At 52.3% G+C, this 21,796-nt stretch overlaps 1 protein-coding gene across 1 annotated transcript in view, besides 3 other annotated features; it reads left to right on the top strand.

The window, feature by feature from the left end:
• The window catches only part of C20orf203 (chromosome 20 open reading frame 203), a 42,317-nt gene extending 27,674 nt beyond the window's left edge, over positions 1 to 14,643 (top strand). The window contains exons 5-6 of the mRNA NM_182584.4: positions 5,581 to 5,702; positions 11,998 to 14,643. The gene's annotated coding sequence lies outside the window, so the exon portion shown is untranslated. The remainder of the gene's footprint in view (positions 1 to 5,580; positions 5,703 to 11,997) is intronic.
• Positions 6,808 to 7,307: an enhancer, noted in NCBI's record as "H3K4me1 hESC enhancer chr20:31226763-31227262 (GRCh37/hg19 assembly coordinates)". NCBI's record gives its function as "activates a minimal SCP1, AML or CMV promoter by ChIP-STARR-seq in naive H9 embryonic stem cells {active_cell/tissue: H9 hESC(naive)}" and the evidence as "EXISTENCE:reporter gene assay evidence [ECO:0000049][PMID:30033119]".
• Positions 7,561 to 7,748: a silencer, noted in NCBI's record as "fragment chr20:31226322-31226509 (GRCh37/hg19 assembly coordinates)". NCBI's record gives its function as "represses an EF-1alpha promoter that drives an FKBP-Casp9 reporter gene in an ReSE screen in K562 erythroleukemia cells {active_cell/tissue: K562}" and the evidence as "EXISTENCE:reporter gene assay evidence [ECO:0000049][PMID:32094911]".
• Positions 18,876 to 18,945: a silencer, noted in NCBI's record as "silent region_12804". NCBI's record gives its function as "represses an Ori minimal core promoter by ATAC-STARR-seq in GM12878 lymphoblastoid cells {active_cell/tissue: GM12878}" and the evidence as "EXISTENCE:reporter gene assay evidence [ECO:0000049][PMID:35858748]".

Raw genomic sequence — 21,796 nt, 5'->3', positions numbered from 1 at the left:
AGCCAGACTCTGTCTCAAAAAATCGAGCGAGACTCTGTCTCAACAAAAAGATCGAGCGAGACTTTGTCTCAAAAAAAAAAAAAAAAAAAAAATTGGGATCAAGCAAGACTCTGTCTCAAAAAAAAAATCCTCATACTGACCCTTACCTTAAGGCCCACTCTGTTTTAAATTGGAGAAAGCAGAGACACAGACAGGTTAAGTGACTCACCCAAGGCCACACAACTTACACAGAATTTGAAGCCAGGGACTCTCTGATAGCACTGTGTAGATGGAGAAACTGGGGTACAGAGAAGTTGAGGTGTCTACCCCAAGTGACCCAGTGAGGAAGCTGGGGAGCCCAGGCTCCAGATCTCACACTAATAGTCTAACACTTCTCCATCCTCAACACTGCTGGCCACTGTACTGGACTGGGAAAAAGGTCCCCAACTCTGGAGTGAGTCAGACCCAGGTGTGATGCCCACTGCTGCCTCACTGTGTGGCCTTGGGCAAGTAGCTGCCCCTCTGTGACCTGGATCTGCTGCCAGGGATGAAGGAAAGAAAGCCTGCCTCTCAGACAGCCTGAAGATGGGTGGTATGGTGGAAAAGCTCGGAGGGCTTGAAGATGGGCAGTGTGGTGGGAAAGCTGGGAGGGCTTGGTGCTGGCTCTCTCTCCTCTCCAATGTCTGCTTCTGCGCTGGGCAGGAGGACGTGCAGCAGTGCAGGGGAGAGGTCTCGCAGGAGAGGAGTGGCCTGCAGCCACTCAGCCAGTCTGTTTGCTGACCCAGAAATTCTGGGAAGTCCCAGTTTGGGAGAATATCCCCCCAGGGGGGCAGGGTCATCAAGGAGAGGAATAGGGGTTTTGCAGAGAGGTTTGTATGATGGGCCCCCCTCCCCTCCATACACCCCCAGCCTGAGTGCCAGGATTCTGGAAGGTCAGTGAGCCGGGCGGGATGCCAGGCAGGAGGCTGCACCTGAGGGCAGCTGGGAATGATCACAGCATTCAAAGACTTAGGCATGGCCTTTGGCTTAGCATACCCAGAAAATGGATTTCTCTACCTGTCTTCCCTGAACAGATGATCAGAGTACTAGGGGCTGAAAGAGCTCGATTCTCCAGGACATCGAGCGACAAACCCAAGTGCCAGTTTCTCCATCCACAGTGTGGGCCAGGCTGTTAGGGGCCAGATCACATTAGCCCCCCAACCAATTCCTCTTATATCTGAGGCCCTGAGAACCTGGCTTAGGAATGGGAAGGGGGCCTGGAGAGCGAGGTGTGGCACAGGGTTTGGGGCGTGTGGTGGCACTGGGGCTGGCGAGCCAAACCCAATCTTGGAGCTTGAATCCTAGCCCTGCTGCATCCCTGGACATGTTAATTTACCACCGAGAGCCTCAGTTTCCCCCATCTGTGAAGAGGGATTATTATCAGAATTGAGATCTCACCATACAGGTACACGATGCATGACACATCACTGGTGCTCAATAAATGTCAGTCTCCTCCCTTGACTAGCTGATCAAGCTCATTTTCCAAACCTCGCAGGGCCTAGGGAAGAATTTTGGCCCTTGTCCTGTGTTCAAGAGGCCACTCTCTGGGAGATGTAATCTGGTTGCTGGATGTTAGATTTGCTGAGATGTTTACAGGGAGATGTGAGGGGCTACTTGAATGGGGCACTTTCCCAATTAATTAGGCTCAGGGTCACAGGGCCTCCCCTGCAGGTGCCCCCAGGGGACTCCTGATCCTTGACATCTCCCTTGCCTGAGGCTGGGCTGGCTCAACCCATAGGGCTTCTTTTTGGCAACTCCTTTTTCTTTTGTGTTTTGTTTTGTTTTGGTTTGTTTTGGTTTTAGAGATGGAGTCTCGCTCTGTCGCCCAGGCTGGAGTGCAGTGGTACGATCTCAGCTCACTGCAATCTTTTCCTCCAGGGTTCAAGCAATTCTCCTGCCTCAGCCTCCCGAGTAGCTGGGACTACAGGTGTACGCCACCACACCTGGCTTATTTTTTGTATTTTAGTAGAGACAGGGTTTCACCGTGTTGCCCAGGCTGGTCTTGAACCCCTGAGCTCAGGCAATCCACCCGCCTCGGCCTCCCAAAGTGCTAGGATTACAGGCGTAAGCCACGGTGCCTGGCTACAACTCCTTTTTCTAGAAGGCTCCTCGCAGACGCCACCTTCTGTCCTGACAACCTTCTGGGTATTCTGTCTGGTTTGGGGTAGCCAGAGGCAGCTGTGCGGGGTAGAAAGGGACCTGGGCCAGTCCTGGCTGGGCAGTCGTGGGCGTGGGGTATCCCTGGTGTGGCCTTCCCACTCTGACCCTCTCTGATCCCTGTGGCAGGGCTGAGAGTGCCCCACAGGGCCATGATGCTTTCATGGTGGTGAGTGTGAAAGGGTTTTAAAAACAGAAAGGCACTTCTCCTAGGTGATGATGATGATTTTTAGCAAATCTTCCCATCTTTTCTGTGATTCACGGAAGCTGCAAGATAGAAATGACCTTGACCATCATTGTTTTCTAGGAGGATGTTAAATCGACCTTGGGCAGAAAAGGGTGTTCATCGTCAAATAAATTTGAGAAACAACGCAAACATCCACAGAGCTCTTCACTGCAGGGTTTCGCAGAAACTTTCGTGTGTGTGTGTGTGTGTGTGTGTGTGTGTGTGTGTGTGTGTGTGTGTGGTTCCAGGAAGCGGCTGGGTCTACACTAGCACCCAGGCCTATGTGACAATGGTGCCCTTTTTTATTTTCCTAGAGCATCCCGTGAGTTAGAAGTCCATGGGATCCACTTTGGGAAATGCCAGAATAGTCTAACACTTTCCCGTCCTCCACACAGCCCAGCTGGATGAATCCGGGGGAATATGGGAGAATCTGGGGTTCAAAGAAGTTAAATGAATTCAGGAGATGCTCTGGGCTTTATTTTAAGGCTGAGATTTTAACTGGCATTTTACCTCTATTAACCCATTTAATCTTCACAGCCACCCTATAAAGTAAGCATGACTGTCATCTCTGTCTTCCAAAGGATAAACTGAGGCACAGAGAGGCCAAGTGCCTGCCCAAGGTTCACAGCTGGTAAAAGACAGAGTAGGACACTGATCCCAGGCTGCCTGAGTCAGAGGCTGCCCTGGCACCCCCTCCCAGCCTGTCTTTACCACACAGGTTCTTGGAGCTGCCTCCACCAGCAGCCACATTCTCACAGCACTGGGCCGAGGTGCACCTTCATGCGGCGGCTGGTCTCAGGAGAGTCTGTGACTCCATTTCACAAGGGGACAGGCTCTGAGTACAGGGTCTGGGGATGCCCTGTGGGTGAGCCCTCCTGCCCACTGTCTGTAGCCTCCCACCGGCAGCCTGGCCCCACCAAGACACAGCCTTAGGGTCTCATTTCGTTCTCACTCTGGTTGTCTCCATTCTACAGGTGAGGCTGTGAGTGAACTGAGGCTCAGAGATGGAGAGTAACTTGTCCATGGTTACACAGCAAGGAGATGGTAGGGCTGGGATTCAAACCCAGGTAGTCAGAATCCAGAGCTGGGTGTTCAAGATGCAGGCGCCCTTGGTGATGAAGCAGTGAGTTTCTGGGGCCAGAGGCTGGCAGGGACACACCCCACCAGTTCCCTGCCCGCCTCTGACCAGCTGCCCCCCTTACAAGCCCCTAGACAGATAGGCTTATGGGTTCCCTGCTAATCTCCCTGGCCTCTCCTTCCCAGCCTCAGACAGGCCAATAGTCAGTCACGTAAAAACAGGCCAGATAGATTACTGCCACCAAGGACACAAGAGGCAGTTGCCTGGTGGCCTCTCGCCGCGCCAAAAGTGTTATCTCTACCTCCTGGAGCTGGGCCTCAGCAGTTTCTTCCTCCTGGGGTGTGGACTTCTTGGTCTGTGTGTTTTTTCTTCCCCTTTGGCTTACTCGTTCCTAGAGATATACTTGTCTGTCTGTCCATCCATAGACATTCACTGGACACTTGTGGGCCAGGCCCCAGCAGGACTTACTCTTCCACCTGCTCAGAGCAGGGCCAAGTCTGCAGGGGGCTTCAAGATGTCCCTGGCGGTGGGGCATATGCCATGGGGGTGTGTGCAGTGTCCACCATTTGATAGTAAAGCAAGGGCCAGACCTGGCTCTAAATGCTACTTCCAACAACTTAATAATAAAGACACAAATAACCCAATTTTGGTTGGGCACAGTGGCTCACACCTGTAATCCCAGCACTTTGGGAGGCCAAGGCAGGAGGATTGCTTGAGTCCAGGAGTTTGAGACTAGCCTGGGTAACATGGAGAGAACCCGTCTCTACAAAAAATACAAAAATTAGGCGTGGTGGTGTGTGCCTGGTGCCTGTAGTCCCAACTACTCAAGAGGCTGAGGTGGAAGGATCACTTGAGCCTGGGAGGTGGAGGTTGCACTGAGCCGAGATCGTGTCACTGCACTCCTGCCTGGGCAACAGAGTGAGACTCTGTCTCAAAAAAACAAAAACAAAAACAGAAACAGAACAAAAACAAATAACTCAATTTTAAAAATGGCGATACGATCTAAACATATATTTCTCCAAAAAAGATGTATAAATGGCCAATCAGCAAATGAAAGGTGCTCAATATTATTGGCTATCAGAGAGATACAGATCAAAACCACAATGAGATACCACTTCACATTCACAGGATGGCTAGAATAAAAAAGACAAATAAGAACAAGTGTTGGTGAGGATATAGAGAAATTGCAACCCTCATACACCGCTGATGGTAATGTAAGATAGTGCAGTCATTTTGGAAAACAGTCTGGCACATTCTCAAAAGTTTAAACATAGAATTATCATTTGACCCAGAAATTCCACTCCTAGATATATAATTGAGAGAATTAAAACATATATCTACACACAGACTTACACAAATGTTAATAGCAGCGTTATTCCTAACAGCCAAAACGTGAAAACAGCCCAGTTGTCCTGAATGTCTGTTTCTTTCTTCCTTTTTTTTTTTTTTTTTTTTGAGTTTTTGAGTGCTCTGTCACCCAGGCTGGAGTGCAATAGCGTGATCACGGCTCACTGCAGCCTTAAACCCTCAGGCTCAAGTGATCCTTCCACCTCAGCCTCCCTAGTAGCTGGGACTAAAGGCTACTCCACACATGCACCACGACACCCAGATAATATTTTGTATTTTGTATTTTGTAGAGACAGGGTCTCACTATGTGTCCCAGGCTGGTCTCGAACTCCTGGCCTCAAGCAATCCGACCACCTCGGCCTCCCAAAGCGTTGGGATTACAAGCATGAGCCACCACACCCAGCCTGAATGTCTTTCAATATGATGAATTGACAGATATAATGTGGATATTATTGGCCATGAAAAGGAATAAAATACTGATCCATGCTACAATACGGATGAAGCTTGAGAACATTATGCCAAGTGAAAGGAGCCTGTCACAAAGATCACATACTGTGTGAATCCATTTGTATGAAATGTCCAGAAGAGGGAAATCCATAGAGACAGAATATGGTTGCCTAGGTCTGGAGAGGGGGGTTCTGGAAAATGGGGAGTGACTGCTAATGGGCAGGAGGTTTCTTTTGGGAATGATGAAAATACTCTAAAGTTTGTTGTTTTTGTTTTTTTTGTTTGTTTGTTTTTTGTTTTGAGACAGAGTCTCGCTCTTTTGCCCAGGCTGGATGGAGTGCAGTGGCGTGATCTCAGCTCGCTGCAACCTCCACCTTCCGGGTTCAAGTGATTCTCCTATCTCAGCCTCCTGAGTAGCTGGGATTACAGGTACGCCACCATGGCCGGCTAATTTTTGTACTTTTAGTAGAGATGGGGTTTCACGGTGTTGGCCAGGCTGGTCCCAAAACTCTTTACCTCAAGTGATCTGCCCACTTTGGCCTCCCAAAGTGGTGGGATTACAGGTGTGAGCCACTGTGCCCGGCCTGAGAATGCTCTAAAGTTGATTATGGTGATGGCTTCACAATTCTGTGAGTATGCTAGCAACCATTGAATTGCATGCATTAAACAGGGGAATTGTATGTGATGTGAATTATATCTCAACAAAGCTGTTATTAAAAAAATTAGAAAATATGGATAAGCAGAAAAAAAGAAAAGAATTGTAAGGCCCTTGATCCTATCACCTAGGGATAACTACTGTTAATATTTTAATGATACTCTCCCAAATTATACTCTGTTGGCCTATGGACTGCTTTTCATTTAATAATATGTGGTAAACATCTTTGATGTCAATAAATACACATCTACATAAAAACAAATTCTACTTCCACCACTCCCTGGCTGTGGGACCTCTTGGAGCCTCAGTCTCTCCATTTATAAATTGGGGTAACCGAGGACCCACCTCCACAGGAAGTCGTGAGAATGAAAGGAAGCAGGCCGCCCACGAACGGCACATGGTACAGACCCCAACCCTTGGAAAACACTCAGGAATCCAAGGGCCTGTTATGATTACGTGTGTGCCAGAGTGGAGTGCTCTGACCGGGCACAGCTCATTTCTGTGTGTTCTGTATGCTTCAAACATATCATGATTTACATAGCCATAGTTTCAAAGTAGGGGGGCAGTGGCCAAGGTGGCCTTGGGAGAGCCTGGAGGTGGCCATGGTGCTCGGTGGACAGATACACCCTCCCTGAGCACACCCACTGTGTGCCTGGCACCAGCTCTTGTTGTCTCCTTTAATCCTCACGGTGACTTTTTTTTTTTTTTTTTTACTATTTAAAAAAATATTGTTACAGGGTCTTGCTATGTTGCCCAGGCTGGCCTCAAACTCCTGTGCTCAAGCGATCCTCCAGCCCTCACCTCTTGAGTAGCTGGGACTACAGGCCAACACCACCATGCTCCTCATAATGACACTTATGAACCCCATATTACAGATGAGGAAACTGAGGCTCAGGGAGGTGCAGTGATTTGCAGGGTGGAACTGGGGTTCGTTTCCAGGTTGGCCTGGTTGGAAGCCCATGTTCTGCCCACTTCTTGGCCTTCCAAGGAGGGGCAGCTTTGAAAGGTGTTGGTACTGTCCAACTGAGACTGTTACTGTTTCCCAGACTTGGGTAGAGGGAGAAACATCCAAAGGAAGAAGTCACTGTTCCCATATCTCAAAGAGCAAGGATTGTTTTCAGCTGAGCCTGCTGTGTGCTGAGCCCTTTGCTGGACTGTGGAACACTGTGGGTGGTGTCTGCTGTCAGGGACTACACAGGCTCGTGGCGGAGAGCCAGGCCAGCCAGGGGAGCCAGGGCTCTGCATCCTGGGTAGGGGCTAGAGGCACAGGCTCTGGAGCCAGATAGTTGGGGCTTGTACCCTCCCTCTGCTGGTGGCTTGGGCAGCTACCTCGCTGCCTGAACTCTGTTTCCCTGTTGGAACTTGTTGGGTGTAAGAATTAAGTAAGTCAGAGCATCTTGAGTTGCACACCGCAGCTCCTGACACAGAATATACACTTGGTATCACCAGGTGAGTCAGGCCGACATTGCCGGGAGCGCAGGAGGAGGGGCCTGGGACAGGGGATGCTGCCCGCCCCCCCTTTCTGCTTCTCTCCAGGGCCAGTGCATGGCAGCCAGCCCATGTGGAGGCCTGGAGACAGGTGGTCCACGGCTTCTGTGGCCATTTTTCAGGAGAGAAGAGGAAGCAAGGACAGCTTTGCTGAGAAGTTGGCCTCCATCTCCCCAGTCAGACCCGGTCCCTCCTGTCCTCCAGTTTTGTGCAGCTGTTTTGCATTCAAGCACAGCTCCTGCCTGGCTCTGGGTCTCTGTCCTCTTCCCTTTGGTTACCCTCACCTCTTCCAGGGTGGCCACCAAGTGGGACCTCAGACTCCTCTGGTGTCCTGGACCTGCTGTAAATCTCAGCAGACCACCTCTGTGACCCTGGGCAAGTGACTTCACCTCACTGATCCTCCTTCCTCTTCTGCAAATGGAGTCTCCAGCACCAGGGTTAGCAGCACCCTCCAGAGTCTGACTGTGACCCCCACTTTCTTGCTGTGGTCCCCTGAGCAAGTCACTTAGGCTCCCCAGCCTCATCTGCAAAATGGGGACAATTACATGTCAGAGATTTGAGAATTAACTGAGAAAACATACATGAAGCACACAGAACAGTGCTTGGGACATAGCAAGTGTTCAATATATGTTGGCCATGGTTATTACAGTCCAGGCTTTCTTTTAAGGCTGTTGCAAAGAGCTCAGGGTCCTGCCCCAGAGAACCCACCCCCAAATGCCAGGTCCTTGGCTTCACATACAACCAGGCATGATGGCTCTTTGAGTCCTCACCCTGGCCTCTGCCCCTCCTGCCATCAGATTGGGCACTCTGCTTTGTATACACACACACACACACACAAGCACACATGCAAACAACAAGTACACAATGCACACACACGCACAGACACATGGGCGCACACACACGCCCATACATGCACCTGCACACACACAAACACAGGCACACACACAGGCACATGCACACACACCTACACCCACACACATGCATGCATGCACACACAGTGACGCAGAGGGCACTGATGTCTGTTGAACAAATTAAACAAAAGACCAAATGTGTGAGAAGGCCAGGAGGCTCCATCTTTTGCAGGAAAGCAAGGATTCATTCATTCAATGAATTCTTACTGAACACCTATTATTCTAAGCATCAGAAATACCTCAGTGATCAAAACAGATAAAAACCCCTGCCCATGTGGAGCTGACACTGTAGTCCAAGAGACGGACCCTAGTGAAAGTGAACAAATGACATGGAGAATGTCAGTCAGTGATACATGCTAGGGAAGCCTGTAAAGTGGGGGTGGGGAGTGGGGAGGCTATCATCTGAGATGGCAGTCAGGGAAGGCCTCATGGAGGAGGTGACATCTGAGCAGATTTGAAGGAGGCAAGATTACTGTTTCGTTGTCTACTCATTCGTTTCTTTTTCTTTCTTTCTTTCTTTTTATTTTGAGACAGTCTTGCTCTATCACCCAGGTTGGAGTGCAGCAGTGGCGTGATCTTGGCTCCCTGCAACCTCCTCTTCCTGGGTTCAAGCGGTTCTCCTGCCTCAGCCTCCCCAGTAACTGAGACTATAGGCGCCTGCCACCACGCCCAGCTAATTTTTGTATTTTTAGTAGAGATGGGGTTTCACCATGTTGGTCAGGCTGGTCTCAAGCTCCTGACCTCAGGAGATCCACTTGCCTTGCCCTTCTCCTAAAGTGCTGGGATTACAGGCGTGAGCCATTGCACCCAGCCCTGTGCTGGTTCATTTCTTCTTTCCTCTAGGCAGTGAGCCAGCGTCAGCAAGCCTGTCCTTGGGCCTCTTCTGTGGCCTGGCCTTGGCAGGGTTGGGGAGGTAGAGAGCAGCCCAGCCCCTGCCCCTGGTGACTCTCAGGCTGCTGTCTCCCGGCAGTGGGAGTGTGAACATGTCCTGCCCACCCAGTGAGAGTCAACAGAAGCCAGGGTGACCAGTCCTCTTGGTTTGCCCAGGCCTGAGGGGTTCCAGGACACTGGACTTTCATTGCTAAAACTGGGCAGTCCTGGGCAGACCAGGATGAATGGGTCACTCCAACAGAGGCTGCCCTTGGTGCCAAGGGGCAGAGGAAATATCAGGGAAGTCCTCCACTTCTCTGAGGATGTCAGGTTTGCAAGGGACATGGAAGAGATATATGCCCTCCCTGGGTGAGCGGGGAGGACAGAGGTTCCATGGCCCAAGTCCAGCAGCACATGGGGGGCGCAGGTGGGTGTGAGGACGAGGCTGTCTTCCAGGGCTCAGTGAGCGATGAGGCAGGAAGGGATGACAGGGGCCTTGCGTGTCTGCAGAGGGGCTGTGCTGACTGTTGGCAGCCAGCCTCCAAGTAGGTGGGCAGCTCCTCTGTGTTAGCATTTTAGAAAGGCCAGCGCTTTGCTGTGCAAGGTTATCCACTGGGGCCAAAGGCAGAGGGGAGCAGCGCCGTGTCCTTGCTCTCCCTTTCGTTGATTCCAGCAGGCGTTAAGCACCTTCCAAATCCCCAGCCCTGGCCAAGTGTTCAGATGTCTGCACTAGTTCAGCAAGACAAAGAGAGAGAGAAAAAGCAAATTGTGGCAAATCTAAGCGAAGGGTGTTCATTATACCATTATCTTTGGTTTGGACATTTTCGAAATAAGATATTGGAGGCGGGAAACAAATAGAAATAAATCCTGGGCCCTATAAAGCCCCTGGGGAAGAAAGAGGTAAGGCAGGTCCTTCCCCCAGCAGCTCACCATCCAGGCAAGTATCTGGGCATGCACACCCGTTGTTCAGTGGCAAGGGTGCTCGGTGTGCATGACCTCCCCAGTGGAAGGACCCTGAGGGGGGCCTGGGGGCTGGGGGAACTGTGCCAGATGGAGAGAGAAAGCAGAGGGCATTCAGACAGGAACGGCAGGAGTCAGAGCACGTGGGCTCACTGTACACGGGATGGGAGGACGACACGTCATTCCGGGTGGCTCCCTGGGGGTTTTTGCTGGGCTGGGAGGCATGGCTCAGGAGGATGCTGGAAAGAGAAGTTGTGGCCTCATGGAGTTGCCTCCTAGAATCTGTCTCTGAAAATGAAAATGTGAGACTGGCCCACCATTACAAAATCAGAGAACACAGGAATGTTTATTTTAGACAGGGTCTTGCTCTGTCACCTAGGCAAGCGATCCTCCCACCTCAGCCTCCCGAGTAGCTGGGACTACAGGCACACACCACCATGCCCAGCTAATTTTTGTATTTTGTAGAGACAAGGTATCCTCATGTCCAGGCTGGTCTTGAACTCCTGGGCTCAAGCAATCCCCCCACCTCAGCCTCCCAAAGTGCTGGGGTTACAGGCATGAGCCATGGTGCCCAGCCGAGGAAATGATTATTATTATTTATTTATTTTTCTTTCTGAGATGGAATCTCACTCTGTCACTCAGGCTGGAGTGCAGTGGTGCGATCTTGGCCTTCTGCAACCTCCATCTCCCGGGTTCAAGCAATTCTGCCTCAGCCTCCCGAGTAGCTGGGATTACAGGCATGTGCCACCATGCCTGGCTAATTTTTGTATTTTTTAGTAGAGATGGGGTTTCACCATGTTAGTCGGGCTGCTCTTGAACTCCTGACCTCATGATCTGCCTGCCTCGGCCTCCCAAAGTGTTGGGATTACAGGCATGAGCCACCGTGTCTGGCCCATTTTTATTTATTTATTTATTTTGAGACACGGTCTCACTCTATTCCCCAGACTGGAGTGCAGTGGCACAATCTTGTCTCACTGCAACCTCCGCCTCCCAGGTGATTCTCCTGCCTCAGCCTCCTGAGTAGCTGGGATTACAGGCATGCACCACCATGCCCGGCTAATTTTTGTATTTTTGGTAGAGACAGAGTTTTGCCACATGGGCCAGGCTGGTCTCAAATTCCTGGCCTCAAGTGATCCGCCCACCTTGGCCTCCCAAAGTGTTGGGATTACATGTGTGAGAGACCGCGTCTGGCTGAAATTATTTTTAAAAAGGAACTACAACCCCCAGGTTAGTCCATCACCAGAGATAACCACTGTGAAGCATTTGACACATTTCTTCCTAATATCATTTCATATATATATATATATGCATATGTAGGTCTCCTAATAAAAAATAGTTTGCCTCTTGCTGTCTTTTACCTACAGTTACATCAGATGCATTGTCTGGTGCCTTTAAGTAGTCTCTGAAATCTGACTCCTCAGCCTTTTGGATGACTCCAGCCGGTGGTGGCCCTTTGACAAGTGTGGCCCCTTCTCGTGGCTGGGCACAGAGGCTGTTTCACTCGTTTTCTGTGATAAAAACACCGCAGTAAACATCCTCCGTCCTGCGTAACTTCATGTCCACATTGCTGATTGTTTTGTTGTGTTTTTTTCTGATAAATTTCTGGACATGAAATTCTCGGAAGCCCTGCTGGGCCCGGAGCTGGCTAGGTACTCGGGAGGGTGCTGGGCTTCCTAGAGCCACGCGTCCACACCTGAGGACAGCTTGGACCCAGCTGTAAGGAACAACGTGCACTTCTTGAATGTCTCACGCTGTCTTCCACCGCTTTGTCCATGATGTCACAGTACCTCTCGCCTCCCCTCCCAATGCCTGTCTTGCTAATTCTTTCTTATCTTTCCAGACTCCAGCATAACCTTCTCCAGGAAGCTTTTCCAGAGCCCCCAGGCTAGGAACCTCCCCCCAACCCCTGAACTCAAGCCCCAGCAGCCCGTGCCTGCGCCATCTCCATCAGAGCTGCATCTCTCTGGGTCTCTGGGTAACAAGTGCCATTTCTTTGTTGTTTTCTGTGTCCCCCAAGGACAAAGCTCAGGCTGGATTCATCTCGGAATTCCCAACACCGGGGTAGAACTGGCTCATTTCAATTTCAGTCAATGTTTGTTGAGGAAAGGAGTGAAGAGTTGGACACATGAATGAACGCATGAAACAGTCCGGAGTGGGGAAGCTGAAGCTCAGGCATCAGGATCCGGGAGAAGCATCCAGTCCAGGCGGACGGGGTGGAAGGTTCAGAGCAGGGGCCCCAAGTCAGGAGTAGGGAGGCAGACGGCAAGACCTCCTTCCATGAAAGGAGGCTGGGACCAGGGGACCAGGTAGTGCAACGCGGTGAGGGGGCTGTCAGGGCGACTGGCCGGAGGAGTCAGAGGCAGGAGGCACCACCAGGTTACAGACAAGGACCTTCTACAAGAGGGAAACGTGTCATGGGCTCTGGAGCCCCTGTCCAGGTTCAAATTGTGACCCTGTGCCAGGGACAGCTTCTTTGTGCCTCAGTTTTTCCCATAAAATGAGGATAATAATACTTCATTCATGCCTTTTTTTCCCCTCAACAAACATTTGTTGTATGTCTGCTGTGGGCCCAGGACAGGAGGCTGAGAAGGAGCTGACCACAGTGGTCACACAGCCAAGCCCTGCTGCTGAGATCTGACCCCAGTTCGCCTGTCACAAGTTCTATCTGTGCCTCGTTGTCTGCCTCCTGGGGCTGTTATGAGGGCTGAAGAAGGGGCAGGCACAGAGGAGACACTTACTATATGATCATTGTCCTCCTAGAGTATCATCACCATCAGGTGGACTTCAGTGGCCATCCCAGGCCTCCACGGATCAACCACAAGATCTTGGAGAATGTCCTTACCCTCCAAGCCTCAGTTTACCTTTAGGGTGACCAACCATCCTGGTTTGTCCAAAACTGAGGGTTTTCCTGGCACAGTCCCAGGCAAACTGGGATGGTGAGTCACTGATATAGTTTGACTCTGTGTCCCCACCAAATCTCACCTTGAATTTTAATAATCCCTAGGTGTCAAGAGCAGGACCAAGTAGAGATAATTGAATAATGGTGGCAGTTTCCCCCATGCTGTTCTCATGATAGTGAGTGAGTTCTCACGAGATCTGATGGTTTTATAAGCAGCTTCCCCCTTTGCTCAGTATCACTCTCCCTCCTGCCGCCCTGTGAAGAGCTGCCTTCCACCATGATTGTAAGTTTCCTGAGGCCTCCCCAGCCACGCAGAACTGTGAGTCAATTAAACCTCTTTTCTTTATAAATTACCCCAGTCTCGGGCATTTCTTCACAGCAGCGTGAGAACAGACTAATCCCGTCACCCTGGTTTCCTCATCTCTAACACAGGGACCACCTGCCTCCCAGGGCTGTTGTGCAGAACAGAAATAAGCCTATGGAAAAGGCAGAAAACCATGGAGCCAGAATTCTAGATCTGGTTACATGAATACTAAAGACTTTTGCATGCCATGGAATTCTAGGCATGAAAAAGAACGAGGCGGTCCCGTGTACTGCTGTGGAAGAAGCTCTGAGATACATGTTTTTTTTGTGAAAAAGGCCAGATACAGCGCACTTTGTGGGGAGCGCTTCTGTTAGTACCAAGGAGGGGGCAGGAACACACGTGCATGTGCTCCAGTGCGCACATGGGTTCTCCCGGGCGGGGACTGGGGGCTGAGGAGAAAAGACTTGTTTTTCACTGTACATCCCTTTGCTTTGTTTGAATTATTTTACCCCTTTGTTTTCAGTAGCTGGCCGAAAAACTTCCCAAGCTTCCATGTGTCAAAAAGAACTCACTGAACGAGATTTAAAGGCCAAAGTTAGGGAGTAGGAAATGTGTCTAGCTCAGGGCCCAGCATCTAAGGAGTGCTCCATGAAAGGCCTTCTCCCCTCTCCCACTCCTGACCTTGCTGACTGCTGGGAGTGCAGGGGCACAGACGGGCTGTTGCCTCCCCCAGTGCGGTATTTGTGAGGCTCAAATGCAAGCCCAGGCTGGGGAGACTGCTCTGGGTTCCACGCGGCATCCTGCCTAAGCCCTGGGGGTCCTAGAGGTCACTGGCTCCCTTCTCTGCCTGCATGTCTCAGGTCGCCCTCTGGCCAATTCTGAAGTCCTGCCCTGCCTCAAGGAGCAGAGGTGGCAGAGGTGGGCCCACCGCACAGGGTAAATGTCCCGGTGTCACATACCTCCAGATTGCAGGGACCTGCGTATGCTACTGCTGCTGTGGAAACCAGCTCTCTCTGGCTCTGGCCTTGGGGAGAGGGAGCCACAGTGGATTTAGGAAGAGTCTCCAGATGTAGCTTGAGACTACCAAACAGGCCTGACCCCCACAGACCCTGCCTCTTATGAGCGCCCAGACTGAGCCCTGCTTCAGGCTCCCAGCCATGTGGCCAGCTGCTTTTCTTCTTTAATTTTTAGCATCAGACGAATATTTCAGGAAAATATTCTCATTGTAAAATCTCAAACATTAATAAAATGTAGTGAATAAAAGGCCATGTAATTCCTCTTTACCTCCTGAGCCCCATTCTGTTTAAACCATTGTTGTCAGCTGGTCAGTGTATATACCTATACCTATGCCATGCCTATACCAATACCTATACCAATATCTGTAACTATACCTATGCCACTACCTATGCCTGTGTCGTGCCTGTACCAACACCTATACCTAGACTATCTATATTTATATCTGTTTAGATGTGCATATTGTGTTTAGGTATGCGTCTCACGTGAGTAGTAACATTCTGTATGTTTTGTTCTGCAAGATGCTTTCTTTTTCTTTTTCTTTTTTTCTTTTTTTTTTTTTTTTTTTTTTTTTAGATAGAGACTCATTCTGTTGCCCAGGCTGGAGTGCAGTGGCTCAATCTTGGCTCACTGCAACCCCTGCCTCCCAGGTTCAAGCGATTCTCATGCCTCAGCCTCCCAAGTCGCTGGGATTACAGGTGCACACCACCACACCCAGCTAATTTTTGTATTTTTAGTAGAGGCGGGGTTTCACCATGTTGGCCAGGCTGGTCATGAACTCCTGAGCTCAAATGATCCTTCTGCCTTGGCCTCCCAAAGTGCTGGGATTACAGGTGTGAGCCACCGCACCCGGGCTATTTTTTTTTCCCCTCCCTCCCTTCCTCCCTTCCTTCCTCCCTTCCTTCCTTCCTTTCCTCTTTTCTTTTTTTCAAACAGGGTCTCACTCTGTTCCCCAGGCTGGAGTGCAGTGGTGTGATCTCGGCTCACTGCACCCTTGCTTTCCCAGGCCCAAGTAATCTTTTTACCACAGCCTCCAGGTAGCTGGGACTACAGGCACACACCACCAGGCCTGGCTAATTTTTGTATTTTTTTTTTTTTGTAGAGATGGGGGGTCTCACCGTGTTGTCCAGGCTGGCCTCAAACTCCTGGGCTCAAGTGATCTGCCCGTCTCGGCCTCCCAAAGTGCTGGGATTACAGGCGTGAGCCACCGCGCCCGGCCAATGCCTTCTTTTTCACTGAACAACGTGTCATGGACATTTCTGAGTCAGTGCATACAGACCTGCCTCCTCCTCCGTGCTGTGCAGTGTTCTGTGTGTGAGCTGGTCCATCCTTTATTTGCCCTCTGGCCTATAAATGGACATTTCCATTATTTCACTCCCACACACAGCCCTGAACAGGCCTCACTGTGCACTCCAGCAGTTTCTCCAAGATAGGTACCCAGCTGAACCCCTGGCACTACTGAAGAGGACGGGTACCAAATTTGTGATCGGTATTATATAAAAACTTGCCTTCTGGGAAGTCCAAACTAAGCTCTCCTTACTCTTGGACTTCCAATCACTCTGTTGGGTTGGCTTTTAAAGCTGGGCCAAGGAGAACTTTTCAACCATCTTGGCTTGCCCTGTTGGTGGGTGGGAGACAGGGTCCCCGGCCTGGGGCAATTTCAGGGAGAAGGGGAAGAACTCCCCCAGTCCCCAAATTTCTCTCCCATCTAAATGCCCCCCGACCTGAAAATGGAGATAATAATAGACCTTCCCTCACAGAGTCTTTCTGGGGACGCTGTGAAAAACAGCCAGGATGGAGATCTGGTGCAGAGGGACAAGGACAATAACAGTCGTAGTGCGACGTCCGGAAGCCTCGCCACGCCGCCCGGAAGCTTCGCCACGCTCCAGGCACTCTTTGAAGGCCCCACCACCATCTTCTCCCTTATGGTGCCTGGCACCCACCATTGTGGTCACTTGCACTAATGCGAGTCCTACCAGTGGCTGGTGCTGGTTCTCACATGCTCCTCTGCATCACACCTGATCCACATCACTCTAACCCAGTGGCCTGTGAGTTCCCATGGCTGACATTAGCTGCAGGGCTGGCCCAGAGCTCTCTTCCAAATTTGCATTCAGAATCCTTCCCCAAAATACCCAATTAAAACCCCAGATGCTGTGTGGACAGCTGGATCCAAAAAGAGCTCTGGGATCAGTGGGACTTACTTACCCAGTCTCAGCTACTCCAAGATCTGGGAAACAGTGGGTTCTTTGGGCCTGGGCCAGGCCAGAGCCTCAGTTTCCCCATCTGTAAGATAGAGGTGGTTGCAGTCAGACTGGATAATTCCAAAGTGCAGTTTTGTTTGTCTCAGACCTCCTGCCCCACCCTCTCCAGCTTATATTCTCAGAAAACATGGTGCTAAAAGGAATGGCCCCGTCTTGGCTCCTATTAGCCTCTGTCTCAGGAGGACAGGGGAGCCCAGGACCAGGGAATCAGTCGGAAGTTCAAGTTCTACTCCTGACTTCAAGTTCTACTCTCCGCCTTCTAGCTGCAGCCCCAGGTGATGTTTGCAAAGGCCCCTGTAACTTAGTGGGTGCTTAGTCATGGTCCCTCCCCTTTCCATGCCTGGGCAGATCTCTGAGCCTCACTTCTCTGAGCCTCAGTTTCCTCACCTCTGCAATGGCTGTGCCTCCCTGCCTGGCCCAGTGCCAGGGCTGTTTGAAGCTAGCAGAGGATGCTGGATGGAAAGAGCTTTTCAGGTAGAAAACCGTGTGCTGTTGGGAAGATTTATTGCTGGGACTGAAAGTGGGAGGTCCAAAGGCCATTGAGGCTGAGACAGTCCCTACCCAGAAGGCTGTGCCAGGGACCAGGCTGCTCTCCCTCCACCCGCACTAGCTGAGCAGAAGGCCTTCTCCCCGAGGCCCTAATGTCTGGTGGTGAGCAGGGGCCGGGCTCTCTTTCAACAGATATTTACCCTTTTATTTTAGAGTGTCTGTCCCCCAAGCAGGGCCCTGGTCAGCGGCTCGATGACCAAGGTCTGGGGAGGGGCACAGGCAGCCTGAATCCTTCCCTTGCTCTCATCCCCCATGTCCTGTGGATTCTCCTTCATTTTCCTCTCTCACCTGCAGCTCCAGGGGACCCTTGCCTCGCCCGTGGCCCCTTGCTGCTCCCGCCACCTTGTCCCCCTCCTTTGTGCTGCCTCCACTTCCACTCTGGCCACCAGGATTCTCTCTGTGTGTGTGTGTGTGTGTGTGTGTGTGTGTGTGTGTGTGTGTGTGTGTGTGTGTTTGAGATGGAGTCTTGCTCTGTTGCCCAGGCTGGAGTGTAGTGGTGTGATCCCAGCTCACCGGGAGACTCTCCCGTGTTCAAGCGATTCTCCTGCCTCAGCCTCCCGAGTAGCTGGGATTACAGGCACATACTGCCACGCCCAACTAATTTTGTATTTTAGTAGAGATGGGGTTTTGCCATGTTGGCCAGGCTGGTCTCGAACTGACCTCAAGCGATCCACCCGCCTCGGCCTCCCAAAGTGTTGGGATTACAGGCGTGAGTCAGCGTGCCCGGCCTCGGGATTCTTTGGAAAATAACATCTGAGCGGTATCTCCTGCCGAGTGCCAGCCTGTGCAGGGCCCTGAGGGGCAGTGGAGCCAAAAGGAGAAGAGACGGCATCCCTGTGCTCTGCACCCTGCTGACCCCCGGCCACTGCTCCCTAGCCCATGTCCTGCTGGGGCGCACCCCACATTCTACCACACAAATCTGTTCCAGCGCCAGACCACACTTCCTCTCTCTCCCCTTGGTGCCTCCCCTCCCCAGCCTAGACCCCTTCCTTTCCCTCCCGCCCTGACGCATCCTGCTTCCAGGCTGGGCGAGGGGAGTCCTGGTCTGTGTTTTCTCGATCGAGTTAGCTACTCAAAATCATATCTGTGTGTCTCCTGAGGGGGTCCGCAAGCCCCACAGGCAGAGGCACACCTGCGTCACAGTGGGGGCCCTGAGCTCAGCCCTAAGTGGCTCCTGAAATGCTCTCTCGAGGCCTGAATGAATCTCCTCCCCCGGCCACCCGGGGCAGTTGGGAGTGTGAGACCTCAGGCTTGGCCCGGCAGAGCTATATTTAGACACCAGGGCCAAGGCGAGCTTCTGAGGCTGAGGAGGTGGCGGGGCCCACAGTGGGGCCCCAGGGGAACCGCCTCATCGAGGGGACCGTCCCTAGGTGACAGGCCAGAGCCCATTCTGGCTGCTTTGGCTTCCACTGCCCCCAAAACGGCAGAGGAAGGATTCTGTTTGAACAAAGGAGGTTCTCTGGCTGGTTTGGTGTGTGTATTATAGCTGGAAAAAATAAGTTCTGGGCCGGCCGGTCAGCTCCAAGGGTGGCCCAGGGCTGGGGGGCCAGGGCGAAAGTGGGGGTTTCCTGGCCAGCCCCTGGGCTGGCTCCTGTCTGCTGCAGCAGCCTGCATGGCTGTCCTCCCCACTGTACCTCGGGCAGGCATCGTGCCAGGCCAGGGTGCGGCTGCCCGGCGGGTGAGGAGGGGCTGCCCTGGCCCCGCTGCTCGCTGCCCGGCTCTTGGGGCGGGCTGGAGGCAGGATGGATGTTCGCAATAATTACCCAGCTGCAGCTTCCCCAGAGCTGCCGCCATAGCAACGGTGCCGGGCGCCCCAGCCGGCCAAGTGGCAGGAGGGGGATGTGGGCACTGTGGGCAGGTCGGGGAGTGGGGTGGCACGAGCCCCAGGCACAGCCCCACTGGCTCCCTTTGTCAGCTCCCTCACTGGCCCACCCCTTCCCCGGAGGCCGGGGGAGGGGGGCTTTGTCTGGGCATAGGGAGGTTGGCACAGCCCAGGAGAGGCTCCGGCAGACGCCCCATTCCCACTGCCAGGGCCCATGTGGCAAGGGGAAGCAGGTGTCAGGAGGGCTGGGAGCGCTCAGGGTCCCCATGGCTCAGGGTTCAGTGGAGGGTGTGCTGTGCCCCACCTGGTGGCCCCCACACACCCCGGGTCCCCTGGTCTCATTGTGCACAGTGCTGTCTTCTTTCTCTAGAAGGGAGTGTGTGGGCACTGGGCACTCCCCAGGGAGGACTCCACTCACCCTGCCTTGCAGGGGTCCTCTTGGAGCAGGCCTTGGGCAGAACTGGCTTTGGGTGGGGCTTTACCTGTGGGGGAGGCCCTGGGGACCCCCATAATCCTGCCCTCATGGTACCCGTCCCCTCTCTCTGTACTTGGAAGCCCTGACAGTCCCTCCCTCCTGTGAACATTCAGTCTGATGAAGAGACTGTGGTTAGCTCCATTTTCCAGATGGGGAGACTGAGGCCAGAAAGGTCTAGGACTTGTTTGGGATCACAGAGCTCAAGTCTGTGGAGCCCCAACCCCGTCCAGTGTTGCCACCATGGTCATCTGGCAGCACAGCCTAGTGGTGACCGAAGAGTGCAGGGCCTGCAACCCAGGGGCCTGGCCAGCCTTGCCCAGCTTCAGTTTTCTCCTCTGTAAGATGGGGATGGAACTGGAGCTCTCTGTATGGGGTTGTTGCGTGGATTCGAGGAAACTGCACGGAAGGCGAAACGCCTGGCACGTGGGCAGTGTTAGCTGCTGCTGTTGTTGTTGGAAATATTATTTTTTATTATTGTTGTTACAACACGTGGGGGCGGACCTCGATGCTCACCAAGGTCCCTTTTGGCTCTGGTCTCCTGGGGCGCTCCGGGTGGGCGCTAGTCACCACAGGCATGCTGGGAAGTGGGAAGCTCGCAGCCTACTGAGAAGGTGGGTGTTAATCCCCTGATCCCACAAGTGCGTCTGGGCGTGGGCTGGGTGAGAATGAGGTAGGAGACACAGGACTGAGGCGGAACCCGCGCTGTGGGGGTGAGACCCTGTTTATACAGAGTGATAGGGGCCTGTCCTGGGGGTCGTCCTGGAAAGGTCAGAAGAAGGGCGTTCTAGAAGGTGGTCTTGCTTGAGGAACCAAAGGGGAGCCAGAGTCCTGGAGCACAGGGAGGGACAGAAAGGGACAGGGAGACTGAGGGTGGAGCGGTCCACTGGGGAGGACTGGGTTCCTGGGGCTTCGAGGGCCACCCATGGAGGACAGGGTTGTTTTTGAGACAGTCTTCCTCTGTCACTTAGGCTGCAGTGCAGTGGCACGATCTCGGCTCACTGCAACCTCAACTTTCTGGGCTCAAGTGATCCTCCCGCCTCAGCCTCTCAGATAGCTGGGACTACAGGTGTGCGCCACCACACCTGGCTAATTTTTGTATTTTTTTTTGAAATGGGGTTTTGCCATGTTGCTCAGGCTGGTCTCGAACTCCCGGACTCAAGCGATCCTCCCACCTCGACCTCCCAAAATACTTGACTGCACCTGGCCGAGAGATTTTGGAGTGATTCTAGAAGCTGGGGAAAGCTAGCAAGGGGCTTTAAATAGAGTAGGTCAGTATGCATGTGTTGAATGAATGGGTGAATGAACAAATGATTGAATGAAAGCTTTATTCTGCCTTGGCCAACCACAGAGCCTCTCTCCCTCCACCTTTCCCTCCTTCCTGTCTCATACCCCTTCCCTCATCACCCCAGCCCTCCCTGGCTGGCTCAGTTTTGTCATTTATAGCCACTGCCCCTAGGAACCCACAGTCATATGGTGGAAGACTGACAAGTAAAGGGAAGAATTCTAGTGCAGCAATCTGGCCAATATGGAGGAGGGTTCTGAGAAAGGACAGCTGACACCAGGCCAGTCAGGGCATTGCCTGAGAGGGGTGTTGAAGGATTAATAGGAGTTCACTAGGCTGCCGAGGCAGAGGACGCAGCATCTGCATAGGCTCCGCAGAGTATGCTGTGGGAGATTTTTAGTCGTTTCATGGGGTAGTGACAAATAAGGATAGCTACATTTATTGAGCACCCACTGTATATCCTAGTCCAGTGCTACACACATGAGATTATTGGAATCGCACAATTGAAACCCTGCTCCCCTTGTGGCAGAGACCTATTTCACTTTCATGGATGAGAAATCAAGGTTCAGATAAGTTAAGTAACTTGCCCAAGGTCACACAGCAACTACAAAGCCTATGCTCTTAATGACCCAGGGGGTGGTAAGGGGTGGGTTGGAGAGACAGGCCAAGCTGGAACAGGAAGGATCCTGAAGGCCAGACTAGGGTGTCAAGACCTAATCCTGGGGCCACCAGAGGCCCATGGTAGGGTTTTGAGTAAGGGCAGGAGGTCTGGCCTGTGTTTGAGACAAAGACTCTGTGGCCTATTTGGAGGGTGTACAGGGTAGCTGAGACTAGCCTGGAGGCTACTGCAATAGTCCAGGCGAGGGCTGACCCCAAGGGGGACATGCTTGGTGAAGGGGAGGAAGGGATGTCTTTAGGGGAGACAGTGAGACAAATGCAAGACCAGGGGAGTGGGCTGAGGCCACTGGTTGAAGTGCAGATCAAGATCAGAGTTCGGGTCCGATAAGTCTAACAGGGAGTTCGGCTCCGATGA

This window comes from Homo sapiens, chromosome 20, assembly GCF_000001405.40.
Source record: "Homo sapiens chromosome 20, GRCh38.p14 Primary Assembly".
NCBI classification, from domain to species: domain Eukaryota; kingdom Metazoa; phylum Chordata; class Mammalia; order Primates; family Hominidae; genus Homo; species Homo sapiens.
Note: the sequence above shows the minus strand (reverse complement) of the source record. Positions and strands in the feature narration are given on the sequence as shown.